Raw genomic sequence first — 16,246 nt, forward strand, 5'->3', positions numbered from 1 at the left:
TCCTGGATAGCCTCAGGTAGGGCAGAAGTGCAGGGAGCCTAGGGACTCCATTTGTGGCTGGTGTCTGAAGTGAGCAGTACTATCGGACAGAACCCTTACCCTGTAGGGTATACATTAGTAGTAGTTAGTGTCAGAATTGAATTCAATTGTAGAACACCCACAGTTGATGTCAGAAAACCGAGAATTTGTTACTGTAAAACTGATGCACAGGATGTCTTTTTCAAATTGGGTGGCCTCTAAGAAGGCTTTCAACTGAGTCTAGCTGAAAATTTGATGGATTTAAATCTTACTTTCTCCTTATAAACTATTTTCTTTCTCCTTATAAACAATGAAGATATGTATAATGTCCTCACATCTCCCCTTTATGGAACGGAACTAGAAGGGAATCAATTAACCCATTTATGCCAGAGGTTGCAATTTTTTGTGTGTGAAAAATCAGACTTTGGTGATGACCCTGAGCAGTAGGATATAAATAACTCCCACAAGCTTAGCAGCCCAATAATGGAACACTAGGCATAAATGGGTTAAGGGCCAACTTCCAAACTGAACAACAGTAGTTTGATGATTAATATGATTCTTTTATGATTAATATGTCAGAAATCTGATGAAATGTTGTATCCAAAGTTCATAAGCAATTTAATCTGCAATTATTGTTATAGAAAGTAAATCAACAATTCCCTTGATTTTCAATAACTATGAAACTATATGGGTACTGCTCAAAGGCACACGCCATGGTACAACTATTTCTAAAAAGCTCAGTCTTAAAAAACAAAGCTTCTAACAGTAGTTTCAAGCACAAATCTCCAAGAAAATGTGCACCTTTCAGACTAAACGTCATAAAAATAATTAGTGTTATTAACCTTAGTGAAAAATAAAATTCTGGCTTGTAAAACAAACACTTTTTAGTTTCAGATAATTTAGCCAGAATGGTCACACACATTAATTTTTGTGGTATTTTAATTGAAAGGTAAATAAACCAAAGTCTCAAAAAAAAATTCTGATTATGACATGAAAATTCATCTCAATTTAAAGCAATATCAAAAGTTAATCAAAACAAACTTACTGTCTGGTCAAATTTGTACATAAATACCTAAATGCTCCTTCAAATGCAAATAAATAAAATATTATTGGTAATTAACATTATATGCAAGTCTAGTAAATTATTCAACCATATTTTATGGTAGCTGAATACTAAAGGACCTTAAGCTTTTACCTGTCTAAAAGAAAGTTGAAAAGACAATGCACAGAATGAAAAAAAAGTTGTGAATCATATATTTCATAAGGGACTTGTATCTAGAACAAACAACTCTTTCAACTCAATAATAAAAAGACAATAAAATTTTAAAATGGACAGAGACTTCTGGTTGTAAAACGGTGGTACAGAAGTAACCTGGCTTCACTCACTGCCACAGGAAACCAAAACCACAAATACAGTGCTGACACGATCATGAGCAATATCCCGAACTCAAATATGAGGAGACAGTTCCCAAGGCCACAAAGAAGTGAAAAAACTCTGAGCAAAAGAAAGCAAATTAGACTTTCATAATCACAGTGCCCCTCCCCTCAATCTGTCCAGCACCAAGCATGCAGAAAACTTTCCCAACTCAGAGTTGCTACACTGGAAAAAGTATAACTGAGGTGGACAACTGGCTTCTCCACCATCTTGGGTTTGTTGGCAAGAGACCTATCCCTGTCCTAATAACTGGGAGCAGTGGAAATACCTAAGGGAGAAATAATCCCTGAAAACCACCAGAAATAAAGAGAAGAGGTCGGAGGTGGGACTACCATCCCTAGTCCTGGAAACTCTGCTATGTAACTCAGCCAAAAGAGATGCCAAGTTGGAGTGGCTGTTCAGCAGCACCACACTGTTAAGAGGTTCATTTCACAGGTTCATTGGACATGAACCTCTACCCAGAGGTTAGGTGCTGAAAAGGAGGCAGCAACCTAGCAGATTTAAGAAAAAAAAAAAAAGAAAGAAAATTAACAGGTAAACTTCAAAGAATCTCTAAGCAAGCATATTCGATAAAAACCAAAACAAGCCAGATAGAGAAGACTAGAATAAATAACTAATCCTTGAATGCAAAGACACAGATGTATATCCACAACAAACAACAGAAAACAGGGAACCATGACCTCAAACAGACAAAGCAAGGAACCAGTGACTGACCCTAAGAAGACAGTGACATGAGCTTTCTGATCAAGAATTCAAAATACCAGGTATAAGGAAATTCAGTAACTTTTACAAGGCAAAGCAGAAAAGTAATTAAGAAATTTATTAGAGAAATTTAGCAAGGAGATCAAAATAATACAAAAAAAACCAAACAGAAATCGAAATTGAGAAATACATTTGGTGAACAGAAAAATTCATTAGATACTCTCAATAGCACAATGGAAACTAAATAACCTACAAGACAACACAGAAAAGTAATACAGAAATTTATTAGAGAAATTTAACAAGAAGAGTGAAATAATACAAAGAAAACAAACAGAAATCAAAACTGAGAAATACATTTGGTGAACTGAAAAATTCATTAAAGTCTCTCAATAGCAGGATATATGAAACAAAAAAAAGTCAGTGAGCTCAAAGACAGGCTATTTGAAAATACATGAGGAGAAAAAAGAAAAAAACCAATGGAAAGGAATGAAGGCTGCCTTTAAGATACAGAAAATTACCTCTAAAGACAAAATCTAAGAAATTTATTGGTATTTAAGAGTGAGGGCTCTTGTTAAGCAAGGGAAAGGGGCAAAAAGCTTATTTCAAGAAATAACAGAAAAAAATCCCAAAAACTTGAGAAAAAGATAAATATCCAGGTACAGGAATAAAGGTAAGACAACACCAAATAGATTTGATGCAAATAAGACTACTCCCAAGTTATATAATAATGAAACACTCAAAGGTCAAGGACAAAGAAAGCAGCAAGAGAAAAGAAGTAAATGATGTATACAAGTGCTCCAACTTGTCTGGCAACAGACATCTTAAGAGAAACTATAAAGGCCAGGAAAGAGTGGAATGCCATCTTCAACGTGCTTTAAAAAAATGCCATCTAAGAATAAAGTATTGAGCAATGCTATCCTTCAAATATAAAAAAGAGGGTTTTTGGTTTGTCTTTTTATTTTTTAAATCTTCTTTTGTAGTGATGGGAATCATGCTATGTTGACCATGCTGGTTTTGAACTCCTGGACTCAAGCAATCCTCCCATCTCTGCCTCCCAAAGTGCTAGGATTATAGGTGTGAGCCATTGTGCCCAGTCAAATACATAGTCTTTCCCAGACAAACTTAAGCTAAGAGAATTCACCACCACCAGAACCACCTTACAAAAAAATGCACATGGGAGTTCTTCCACCAGACAGAAAAAAACACTAACTTACAAAAAGAAAGCTTGTAAAGGTATAAAACCCACTGGTAAAATTAAGTACACAAACAAACCAGAATACTCTATTACTGCAATTTGTAGTGTACAATCCATTTGTAACTCTGTTTGGTATGAAGTCCAAAAGACAAATCTACCAAAAACAGTAATACTTATAGCAACCCATTAAGAGATAGGCAATATAAAAACATAAAAATTAACACAACATAGTGTCAAAATGTGGGGGGCGGGGTGGGGTGGAGTTATAGGAAAGAGGGTTTTTTAGCTTCTCGAGAGGGGCCTCGCGGGCCCCGCTCCCGCCCTCGGCTCGCCTGGCCCAGACCGGAAGCAGCGCCGCACTGCCTGGGCCTGGCGCGGGGGGTGAGCACAGGGGCCCGGTCGGACATGGACAAGAAGCACAAGCACAAGAAGCTCAAGTCGGACAAACACCTCTACCAGGAGTATGTAGAGAAGCCCTTGAAGCTGGTCCTCAAAGCAGGAGGGAATGAAGTCACCGAACTCTCCGTGGGCAGCTCGGGGCACAACTCCAGCCTCTTCGAAGACAAAAAACAATCATGACAAACAAAAGGACAGAAAGTGGAAAAAGAGAAAGAAAGGAGACAAGCAGGTTCCAGGGGAAGAAAAGGGGAGAAAACAGATAAGAGTTAAGGAGGATAAAAAGAAGCGAGATTGAGACGGGGTGGAGAATGAGGCAGAAAAAGACCTCCAGTGTCACGCCCCTGTGGGATTAGACTTGCCCGGTGAGAAGCCTCTCACAAGCACTTTAGCCAAACAAGAAGAAGTAGAACAGATACCCCACCCCTTCAAGAAGCTTTGAATCAACTGGCGAGACAATTGCAGAGAAAAGATCCAAGTGCTTTCTTTCATTTCCTGTGACTGATTTTACTGCTCCTGGCTACTCCATGATCATTAAACACCCAATGGATTTTAAATGAAAGAAAAGATCAAGAACAATGACTACCAGTCCATAGAAAAACTAAAGGATATTTTCAAACTAATGTGTACTAATGCCATGATTTACAATAAACCAGAGACCATTTATTATAAAGCTGCAAAGAAGCGGTTGCACTCGGGGATGAAAATTCTTAGACATGAAAGAATTCAGAGCCTGAAGCAGAGCATAGACTTCATGGCTGACTTGCAGAAAACTCAAAAGCAGGAAGACAGAACAGACACCTCGCAGAGTGGGGAGGACAGAGGCTGCTGGCCGAGAAGAGAGAGGACTCTGGAGATGCCAAAGCACACGCCTTCAAGAGTCCCAGCAAAGAAAATAAAAAGAAAGACAAAGACATGCTTGAAGATAAGTTTAAAAGCAATAATTTAGAGAGAGCGCAGGAGCAGCTTGACCGCATCGTGAAGGAATCTGGAGGAAAGCTGACCAGGCGGCTTGTGAACAGTCAGTGCAAATTGGAAAGAAGAAAACCAGACGGAACAACAATGTTGGGACTTCTCCATCCTGTGGATCTCATTGTAGGAGAGCCAGGCTACTGCCCTGTGAGACTGGGAATGACAACTGGAAGACTTCAGTCTGGTGTGAATACTTTGCAGGGGTTCAAAGAGGACAAAAGAACAAAGTCACTCCAGTGTTATATTTGAATTATGGGCCCTACAGTTCTTATGCACCGCATTATGACTCCACATATGCAAATATCAACAAGAATGATTCTGATTTAATCTATTCAACCTATGGGGAAGACACAGATCTTCCAAGCGATCTCAGCAGCCATGAGTTTTTGGCCACGTGCCAAGATTATCCATCTGTGATGGCAGATAGTTTACTGGATGTTTTAACAAAAGGAGGGCATTCCAGGACCCTACAAGAGATTTAGATGTCACTGCCTGAAGATGGAAGGCCATACTAGGACACCTGACACAGCAAAAGAAATGGAGATTACAGAAGTAGAGCCACCAGGATGTCTGGACTCCAATACTTCAAGACAGGCTCATAGCGCTGAAAGCAGTAACAAACTTTGGCGTTCCGGTTAAAGTTTTTGATTCTGAGGAAGCTGAAATATTCCAGAAGAAACTTGATGAGACCACCAGATTGCTCAGGGAGCTAGCTCCAGGAAGCCCAGAATGAATGTTTCAACACCAGACCCCCTCCCAACATGATCTGTCTCTTGGGTCCCTCATACAGAGAAATGCATCTCACTGAACAAGTGACCAATAATCTTAAAGAACTTGCACAGCAAGTAACTACAGGTGATATCATAAGCACATACGGAGTTTGAAAAGCAATGGGGATTTCCATTCCTTCCCCCGTCATGGAAAACAACTCTGTGGATTTGACAGAAGATACTGAAGAACCTAAAAAGACGAATGTTGCTGAATGTGGACCTGGTGGAAGTTGAGGCCACCTGTATTTGATTATATATTATGTACATACTTTTTCATTCTTAACTTAGAAACGCTTTTTAGAATATGTTAAATATTTGTAAATTGTGTTTTTAATTAAACTTTGCAACAGTGAATTTGAATGTTCCAGAGGTTGGACTTGTATTAGGTAATAAAGCGGGACCTGAGGAAAAAAAAAGAGGGTTTTTAAAAAAAATTTCTATTCTTTGTTTTGTAATTAAGATGTTTTTGTAGTCTCATGGTTACCACAATGCAAAAACCTATAACAGATTCACTATAACTAAAAAGCAATGAATTAAAACATACTACCAGAGAAAATCTCTTAATCACAAAGGAAGACAGTAAGAAAAAGAAAAAAGGAAGGAGTTCTAAAACAACAGAAAACAAGCAATGAAATGACAGTAGTAAGTTTACTTGGCAACAGTAACACTGAATGCAAATGGACTCAATTCTCTAATCACAAGGCAGAATGAATTCTGTCTAAACAGATAAAGAAGCAAGAGTTAAACTATATGCTGCCTATAAGAAACTTACTTCGCCTATAAAGCCACACACAGACTGAAAGTGAAAGGCTGAAAAAAGATATTCCATGCAACTGGAAACAAAAGCAGGAGTAGCTATATTTGTATCAGATAAAACAGACTATCAAGACTGTAAAAAGAAACAAAGAGGGTCACTATGTATTGATAAAAGGGTCAATTCAGCAAGAGGATATAACAATTATAAATATCTATGCATGCAACACCAGAGCATCTGAGTGCATAAAGCAAATAATACATTTAAAAGGAGAGACAGACTGCAATACAGTAATAGTAGGGGACTTCAACACCCCATTTTCAGTAATGGACAGAACATCCAGACAGAAAATCAAGAAAGAACACTGGAGTTAAGCTACACAGTACACAAACAGGCCTAATCAACATTTATGGAACATTTTACCCATGGCTGCAGAAAACACATTCTTTTCATCAGCATATGGAACATTCTCCGAAACAAATCATATCTGAGACAAAAAACAAGTCTCACCAAATTTAAGTAAGTAGAAATCATACCAAGTATCTTCTCTGGCCACAATGGAATAAAACTAGAAATTAATAACAAAAGGAAGCTTAAAAATACACAAACACATGAAAATTAAACAACATTCTCCTGAATGACCAATGGGTCAATAAAGAAATTAAGAAGGAAATTTAAAAATTTCTTGAAACCAAAGGAAATGAAAACACAACATACCCAAACCTATGGGATACAGCAAAAGTGGTACTAAGAAGGAAGTTTATAACAATAAACACCTATGTCAAAAAGTAGAAAGACTTCAAATAGACAACCTAATGGTATACCTGAAGGAACTAGAAAAAGAACAAAACAAACCCAAAATTAGTGGAAGGAAATAAATAGTAGCGATCAAATCAGAAATAAATGAAATTGAGACTAAAAACCAATACAGAAGATCAACAAAATGAAAGGTTGTTTTTTTTAAAAAGACAAACAAAATTAACTAACAAACCTTTAGCTAGGCTGGAAAAAAGAGAGAAGATCCAAACAAATAAAACCAGAAACAAAAGAGGAGATAAAACAACTGAGACCACAGAAATACAAAGAGACTATTATGAAGAGGCTAATATATGAGAGACTGTTATGAAGAACTATACACCAACAAATTGGAAAACCTAGAAGAAATGGATAATTTCCTGGACACAGCCTACCAAGGTTGAATCAAGGAGAAAGAGAAACCTTAATACACCAATAATGAGTAAGGAGACTGAAGCCATAACAGTCTCCCATCAAAGAAGAGCCCAGGACCTAATGGCTTCATTCCTAAATTCCATCAAACATATAAAGAACTAATACCAATTCTACTCAAACTCTTCAAACAAAATTGAAGCAGAAGGAATACTTTCAAACTCATTCTATGAGACCAGCATTACCCTGATACCAAAACCAGACAAGGACACAACCAAAAAAAGAAGACTACAGGCCAACATCCCTGATGAACACAGATGCAAAAATCCTCAACAAAATTCTAGCAAACCAAATTCAACATCACATTAGAAAGATCATTCACCACGATCAAGTGGAATTCATCCCAGGGATGCAGATTGTTCAACATAAGCAAATCAGTGAACATGATACATCAAATTAACATAATCATGAACAAAAAAGCCTATTATTGTTTCAACAGATGCTGGAAAAGCATTAAATAAAATTCAACATCACTTCATGATAAAAACCCTCAACAAAGGAACATCCCTCAAAATAATAAAGAATATATATTACAAACCCACACCTAACACTGTACTCAATGTGGAAATATTAAAAGCCTTTCCTCTAAGATCTGGAGCAAGACCAGGATGCCCACTTTCACCACTTTTATTCAATGTAATACTGGAAGTCCTGTCCAGAGCAATGAGGCAAGAGAGAGAAATAAAGAGTATCCAAATTGGAAAGGAAGAAGTCAAATTAGCCTTGCTTGCAGATGACATGGTCTTATACTCAGAAAAGCCTGAGGAACTCAACCAAAAAAACTGTTAAAAATGATTAATGGTCCGGGCGTGGTGGCTCATGCCTGTAATCCCAGCACTTTGGGAGGCCGAAGTGGGCGCATCACCAGGTCAGGAGATCGAGACCATCCTGGCTAACATGGTGAAACCACGTCTCTAATAAAAATACAAAAAAAAAAATTAGCTGGGCATGCTGGCGGGCGCCTGTAGTCCCAGCTACTCAGGAGGCTGAGGCAGGAGAATGGCGTGAACCCGGGAAGCGGAGCTTGCAGTGAGCCAAGATTGTGCCACTGCACTCTAGCCTGGGCGACAGGGCGAGACTCCGTCTCAAAAAAAAAAAAAAAAATCAATGAATCCAGTAAAGTTGTAGGATACAAAATCAACATACAAAAATCAGTAGCATTTATATACACCAACAGCAAACAATCTGAAAAAAAAATCAAGAAAGCAACCCCACTTACAATAACTACAAAGAATAGAAAATATCTAAGAATCAATCCAACCAAAGAAGTAAAATATCTCTACTAGAAAAAGTATAAAACACTGATGAAAGAAATTAAAGAGGACACAGAAAAATGAAAAGATACTCCATGCTCATGGATTAGAAGAACCAATATTGTTAAAGTAACAATTCTGGCTAATGTGGTAACTCACGCCTGTATCCCAGCACTTTGGGAGGCCGAGACTGAAGGACTGCCTGAGCCCAGGAGTTCAAGGTAAGCCTGGGCAACATGGTGAAACCCTGTCTCTACAAAAAATACAAAAATTAGCTGGACGTGGTAGCACACGCCTATAGTCCCAGCTACTGGGGAGGCTGAAAGGTGGGAGGATTGCCTGAGACCAGAAGTCAAGGCTGCAGTGAACTGTATGTAATTGCACCACTGTACTCCAGCCTGTAAGACACAGCAAGATCCTGTCTCAAAACAAAACAACAAAACAATTCTACCCAAAGCAATTTACAAAGTCAATGGAATCCCTATCAACGTATAAATGACGTTCTTCACAGAAATAGAAAAAACAATCCTAAAATATGTATGGAACCATAAAAGACCCTGAATAGCCAAATCAATCTTGAGCAAAAAGAAAGCTGGAGGCATCACACTACCTGACTTCAGAATATACTACAAAGCTATAGAAACCAAATCAGCATGCTATTGGCATAAAAACAGACATACAGACCAATGAAACAGAACAGAGAACCTACATATAAATCCAGACATTAACAGCTAACTCATTTTCAACAAAGGCATCAAAAACATACAATGGGGAAAAAAACAGTCTCTTCAACAAATGGTGCTGGGAAAACTGAATAACCACATGCAGAACAATGAAACTAAAAACAGAACCTCCTTATCTCTCACCATATACAAAAGTCAAAATGGATTGAAGACTTAAATCTAACACCTGAAACTATGAAACTACTAGAAGAAAACATTGGGGAAATGCTCCAGGACATTGGTCTGTGCAAAGATTTTTTTGGGTAAGACCTCAAAAGCACAGGCAACCAAGCCAAAAATAGACAAAAGGATTACATCAAGCTTCTGTTGAGCAAAGGAAACAATCAATGAAGTGATAAAGACAATTCATAAAATGGAAAAAATATTCACACGCTACTCATCTAACATGGGATTAACAACCAAAATATATAAGGAGCTCAAACAACTCAATAACAACAAAACAAATAATCTGATTTTTAAATAGGCAAAAGGTCTGAATAGATATTTCTCAAAAGAAGACATAAAAATGGCCAGACACATGAAAAGATGCTCAACATCACTAACCATCAGAGAAATACAAATCAAAATCATAATGCGATATCATCTCACCCCAGTTAGAATGGCTTTTATCAAAAAGACAATGAATAATGGATGCTGGTGAGGATGCGGATAAAGGAGAATCCTCGTACACCACTGCTGGGAATGTAAATTAGTACAGTTACTATGGAAAACTGTGTGGAGGTTCCTCAATCCAACAATTCCACTTTTGAATATAAACCCAAAAGAAAATCAATATACTGAAGATATCTCTGTACTCCCATGTTTATTGAAGCACTATATTCACAATAACAAAAATTATTAGAATCAATGTAAGTGCCCATCAGTGGATGAATGGATAAAGAAAATATGGTATATATACACAATGGAATGTTATTCAGCCATATAAAAAAAATGAAATCCTGTCATTTGCAGCAACGTAAGTGAAACTGGAAGTCATTATATGTTAAGTGAAAAAAGCCAAGTACAGAAAGACATTATTACATGTTCTCATTCATATGTGGGAGCTAAAAAAGTGGATCTCATGAAGATATAGAGTAGACTGGTAGTTACCAGAAGCTGAGAAGGGTGGGGGTGCAGGGATGAAGAGAGGTTGATTAAGGGGTACAAATATAGAGTTTGATAGAAGAAACAAGACCTAGTGTTTGGTAGATCAGCAGGGTGACTATAGTTTACAATAATATGTTGTATATTTCAAAATAGCTAGAAGAGAATAAATCAAATATTTCTAGCATAAAGACAAATATTTAAGATGAGATGAATATCCCAATTACACTGATTTGATCTTTACAAATTATGTAAATGTAGTAAATTATCACATGTACCCCAAACATATGTACATCTACTATGTCTCAATAAAAAATACTAAATATTATAAATGGGCAAAGGATGTGAATAAACATTTTCCTGAGGAGATATCAAATGGCAAATAAGCACATTAAAAGATTCTCAACATCAGCAGCCATCAGCAAAATGCAAATCGGAACCACACGCTCACTAGGACAGCTATAATTAAAAAGTCAGACAATAACTAGTGTTGTGGAGAAACTGGAAATTTCATACACTACTTCTAGGAATGTTAAATGGTGCAGGTGCTTTATAGAATAGTCTGGTAGTTCTTCAAAAAGTTAAAAAAATAGAGTTATCATATGACCAGCAATTCTACTCCTAGGTATATGTCTAAGAGAAATGAAAATACATGTCCACACAAATACCTGTACATGAATATTCATAGCAGCATTATTCATAATGGTCAAAAGGTGAACACAACTCAGAAGTCCATCAATTGATGAATGGATAAATACAATACAGCATATCCAGAAAATAGAATATTATTCAGCCATAAAAAGGAATGAAGTGCTGATAAATGCTATACTATATATAAAATTAAAATATTTCAATTAAAAATTGTATACTAAAACTTTTTAATTTTTAGCATTTTTAGTATACAATTTTTAATTAAAATATTTTAATTTTATATTATATAGAGAAAAATTTTAAATATTATGCTAAGGGAGCCAGACACAAAAAATCACATATTATATGACTCCATTTATGTGAAATGTCCAAAATAGGCAAATTTATAGAGAAAGAAAGGAGATTAATGGTTGCTGGGGCTTAGGGAATTGGTGGGAAATGAGTACTGACTGCTATTTGAGACGGTGTTTCTTTTTAGGGTGACAGTGTTCTAAAATTGATTGCGCTTATGGTTGCACAACTCTGTGAACAAAGATCACTGAATTGTATAAATAGGTAAAATGTATAGTATGTGAACTACATCTCAATAAACTTACATAATTTTTTTTTTGAGACAGGGTCTTCCTCTGTCACTCAGGCTGGAGCACAGTGGCAGGATCACAGTTCACTGCAGGTCTGACCACCTGGCTCTAGTGATCTTCCTGCTTCAGCCTCTCGAGTAGCTGGAACTACAGGTATGTGACACCTGCCTAATTTTTTTTTTTTTATTTTTATTTTTTATAGAGACAGGGTCTCGCTAAGTGCTTAGACTGGTCTCAAACTCCTGGGCTCAAGTGATCCTCTTGCCTCAGCCTCCTGAGTAGCTGCCTTGCCTCAAAGTGCTGGGATTACAGGCATCAGCCACCTCACCTGGCCTATTATACAATCTTTTAAACTTATCTATACTCATTGTTTTCTTTAGCAGTTGCTAATGAGATGACCTAATTTTGAATATACCATTAGAGAAAATGCATTCATTAAATTATTCAATTTATATCATAGGAATAAATTATGAATATACAGAAATATAATCATTTGCCACTACAACCACTTACATATCTTTATTTTTATTTAATGATGCACTAAATATAGTATTTTTATTTTAATTATTTTTTTAGAGACAGAATCTTGCTATGTTGCCCAGGCTGGGACTATAAGTGTGCACCAGTGTACCTGGCTTTAAACCCTGAATCATATTAAGATTAAAAAAAAAAAAAAAGAGGTAAAGTGATCATTACCAAAAAATAAACTAACAAGAAAGAACTGTTAATGTTAAGAAAGTTTTCTCAGACAATAAAACTAAATGACAAAAAAACAATTTAATATTTGAACAGGCTCCTCACATCCCTCAAAATCCCATATCCCAACCCGATATCCTATAACTTTCATACATGAATTAAAGAAAGGTTTTCTTAGGACTATGTTTAATTATTTAGAGTCCTGGGTTGATATGGCAAGTGAGTTCTACTAAGCATACAGTTGATCTCACGGGGTCCTGAATAAGGCAAAATGATAAATCATAAAAATCCAAAGTCCAAAGCTTTGGGCAAAAACACATTAACTAAACTTGTCAAAAACAGTGCAAACCAGAAGTCAGTGGAGCAACATCTTTAATGTATTAAAAGACAAAAAAAACAGTCAATTTTTTAGTGGTTACCCTGGAGTTTGAAGTATACATTTGCAACTATTCTAAATCCACTTTCAAATAATACTATACTGCCTCAAAGGTAACTTATATTAGGTTGGTGCAAAAGTAACTGTGGTTTTTGCATTGTTGGAATTTGCTGTTTGATTGTAATACATTCTTAAATAAATGTGATTATGTTATACATCCTTTTAACAGGCATTTCTCACTTTATGTTTTTTTGCTAATGACTTATTACTTGCTGTTCATTTTATGTTTAGAGTATGGAAATGACGTCAGACAAAAAGCAAATTTGAGCGATTTTCTTATTTGAGTTCAAAATGGGTTGTAAAATAGCAGAGACAACTCACAACATCAACAATGCATTTGGCCCAGGAACTGCTAACAAATGTACAGTGCGGTGGTGGTTCAAGAAGTTGTGCAAGGGGGACAAGAGGCTTGAAGATAAGGAACTTGGTGGCTGGCCATCAGAAGTAGACAACAACCAATTGAGAGCAATCATCAAAGCTGATCCTCTTAAAACTACACGAAAAGTTGCCAAAGAACTCAACATAGAGCATTCTACAGTCATTCAACATTTGAAGCACATTGGAAAAGTGAAAAAGCTACATAAGTGGGTGCCTCATGAGCTGCATGAAAACAAAAGAAATCGTTTTGAAGTATGGTCTTCTCTTATTCTACCCAATAACAACGAAACATTTCTTGACTGGATGGTAACATGACAGAAAATGGATTTTATGTGATGACCAGCTCAGTGGCTGGACCAAGAAAAGGTCATGGTCACAGTTTGGTGGTCTGCTGCCCGTTTGACCCACTACAGCTTTCTGAATCCAGGCAAAAACCAATACATCTGAAAAGTATGCTCGGCAAATCAATGAGATGCACCGAAAACAGAAAGGGCCCAATTCCTCTTCAAGACAATGCCTGACCGCCAACCAGCGCTTCAAAAGTTGAAGAAATTGGGCTATACAATTTTGCTTCAGCCATCATATTCACCTGACCTCTTGCCAGTGGACTATGATTTCTTCCAGCATCTGGACAACTTTTTGCCAGGAAAATGCTTCCACAACCCATAGGATGCAGAAAATGCTTTCCAAGAGTTCACTGAATCCTGAAGCACAGATTTTTTTTTTTTGAGACGGAGGAGTTTCGCTCTTGTTGCCCAGGCTGGAGTACAATGGCACAATCTTGGCTCACTGCAACCACCGCCTCCGGGGTTCAAGTGATTTTCCTACCTCGGCCTCCCTCCTAGTAGCTGGGATTACAGGCATGCGCCACCATGCCCGGCTAATTTTGTATTTTTAGTAGAGACGGGGTTTCTCCATGTTGGTCAGGCTGGTCTCAAACTCCCAACCTCAGGTGATCCACCCACCTGGGCCTCCCAAAGTGCTGGGATTACAGGCGTGAGCCACCACGCCGAGTCCCAAAGCAAAGATTTTTATGCTACAGAAATAAACAAACGTATCTTTTGGCGAAAATGTGTTGATTATAATGGTTCCTATTTTGATTAATAAAGATGTGTCTGAGCCTAGTTACAATGATTTAAAATTCCTGGTCCAAAACTGCAATTACTTATAAGGGACAGCCCTCCTGTCCCTTATAAAATTGCTGCCATTAATTTCACTTATCCCTAAGCTATAACTGAATGCATTACTGCTATTATTATTTTGAACAGTTACCTATCAGTTAAGAACAAGAAAATAAAAGATTTTACCTTTACTTATTCCTTTTCTAATACTCTTCCTTTCTTTATGTAGATCCAAGTTTCTCACCTATATCATGTTCCTTTTCTCTGGAGAACTTCTAACATTTCTTATAAGGCAAGTAACATTTCTTACTGGCAACAGATTCCCTCAATGTTTATTTGTCTGAGAAAGTTTTTTATTTCTCTTTCATTTTGAAGGATAATTTCACTGCACACAGAATAATTCGAGGTTGGTGTTTTTCTTTCAACACTTAAAACACTTCACTCCTCTCGCTTCTTGCTTGCATTGTTTGTGAACAGAAGTCCGATGTAATTTTTGCTTTCTTCACATAGAAGTAAGGTGGGTTTTTTCGCCTCTGGTTTCTTTCAAAATTTTCTCTTTATCTTTGGTTTCCTGCAGTTTGAATATGATATGTGTAGGTGTTTAATTTTGGAAAATTCTCAGTCATTATTACTTCAAATATTTATTTTGTTCTTCTGAAAAGCCCATCAAAGGTATTCTTCATTTCTGTTATAGATTTTATTTCTAGCATTTCCTTTTCTTACAATTCCAATCCCTATGCCTCTATTATCCATCTGTTCTTTTTGTTACTGTTGTTGTTGTCGTCATTGTTGTTTTTGAGACAGGGTCTCGCTCTGTCACTCAGGCTGGAGTGCAGTGGCGTGATCTTGGCTCACTGCAGCCTTGACCTCATGGGCTCAGGCAATTCTCCCACCTCAGCCTCCCAAATGGCTGGGACTACAAGCACATATGCCACCACACCCAGCTAATTTTATTTTTTATAGAGACAAGGTCTCACTATGCTGCCCAGGCTGGTCTTGAACTCCTGGGCTCAAGTGATTCTCCCACCTCGCTTCCCAAAGTGCTGAGATTACAGGTGCGAGCCACCACGTCCAGCCACTCATCTGTTCTTGTATATTGTCTACATTTTTTATTACAGACCTTACCATGTTACTCATCATTATTTTAAATTATCAATCTGACAATTCCAAAATCTCTGCCATATCTAGCTGGGAGTTAAGACTGTCATGTTTACTATTTGCTGTAGTTATAGGTGTTAGAGGCTAATATTTTCTCTACTGTCCTTGTTTTTGTCTCATACTGTCTTTGGGTTTCCCTAGAAACTCTTTACATAGTGTGAGTCTAAGCCTTGCAGTTCTTTCAGCTGTAATCTTCTGTTATTATACAGGAGCCTGCTGACATGAGGGGAGGGGAAGAACCTGTTGATGTGGGGTATGGGGAGAAGATAAAGTGTTCTATAGTCCTATGATTACGTTTCAGTCTTTAAGTGGGCCTGTGTCCCGGGGGTGTGACCGTCACAAGTGATTTTCAGCTTTTCCCCCCACTTAGGTGAAACAGGAAGAATAAAGGGGGCTGGAGTTAGATACTTCCCTTTCCCTGAGTTGGTTACGGCGCTGGTGGTTTCCCTTGGCAAATGTTACATGTGACCTTGTAAACAATGTGTATTCTGAAATTATTAGGTAGGTGTAGGGTTCTAAAAATGTCAATTAGACTGAGTTGGTTGACAGTGTTGTTCAAGTGTTTCATATACTTACTGATTTTCTACCCACTTGTTTCACCAAATGCTGAAAAGAGGAGTGTTGAAGTCTCCAACTGTAACACTGGCTTTATCTTTTTCTCTCTTTAGTTCTCCCTT

At 37.3% G+C, this 16,246-nt stretch overlaps 1 protein-coding gene and 1 pseudogene across 16 annotated transcripts in view, besides 4 other annotated features; one reads left to right on the forward strand and one right to left on the reverse strand.

Annotated features, from left to right (window-relative positions):
- The window catches only part of REV3L (REV3 like, DNA directed polymerase zeta catalytic subunit), a 184,679-nt gene that overhangs the window by 127,030 nt on the left and 41,403 nt on the right, over window positions 1-16,246 (reverse strand). The window lies entirely within an intron of this gene.
- Window positions 1,331-1,531: a silencer, noted in NCBI's record as "peak6034 fragment used in MPRA reporter construct". NCBI's record gives its function as "represses an SCP1 promoter by STARR-seq MPRAs in K562 erythroleukemia cells {active_cell/tissue: K562}" and the evidence as "EXISTENCE:reporter gene assay evidence [ECO:0000049][PMID:32103011]".
- On the forward strand, window positions 3,652-5,892 carry BRD7P4 (bromodomain containing 7 pseudogene 4; annotated as a pseudogene).
- Window positions 4,431-4,639: a silencer, noted in NCBI's record as "fragment chr6:111751696-111751904 (GRCh37/hg19 assembly coordinates)". NCBI's record gives its function as "represses an EF-1alpha promoter that drives an FKBP-Casp9 reporter gene in an ReSE screen in both phorbol 12-myristate 13-acetate-treated (for megakaryocytic differentiation) and untreated K562 erythroleukemia cells {active_cell/tissue: K562 | K562(+PMA)}" and the evidence as "EXISTENCE:reporter gene assay evidence [ECO:0000049][PMID:32094911]".
- Window positions 13,211-13,411: a silencer, noted in NCBI's record as "peak6035 fragment used in MPRA reporter construct". NCBI's record gives its function as "represses an SCP1 promoter by STARR-seq MPRAs in K562 erythroleukemia cells {active_cell/tissue: K562}" and the evidence as "EXISTENCE:reporter gene assay evidence [ECO:0000049][PMID:32103011]".
- Window positions 15,685-15,764: an enhancer, noted in NCBI's record as "active region_24943". NCBI's record gives its function as "activates an Ori minimal core promoter by ATAC-STARR-seq in GM12878 lymphoblastoid cells {active_cell/tissue: GM12878}" and the evidence as "EXISTENCE:reporter gene assay evidence [ECO:0000049][PMID:35858748]".

The sequence above is a fragment of the Homo sapiens genome, chromosome 6, assembly GCF_000001405.40.
Source record: "Homo sapiens chromosome 6, GRCh38.p14 Primary Assembly".
Lineage (NCBI taxonomy): Eukaryota > Metazoa > Chordata > Mammalia > Primates > Hominidae > Homo > Homo sapiens.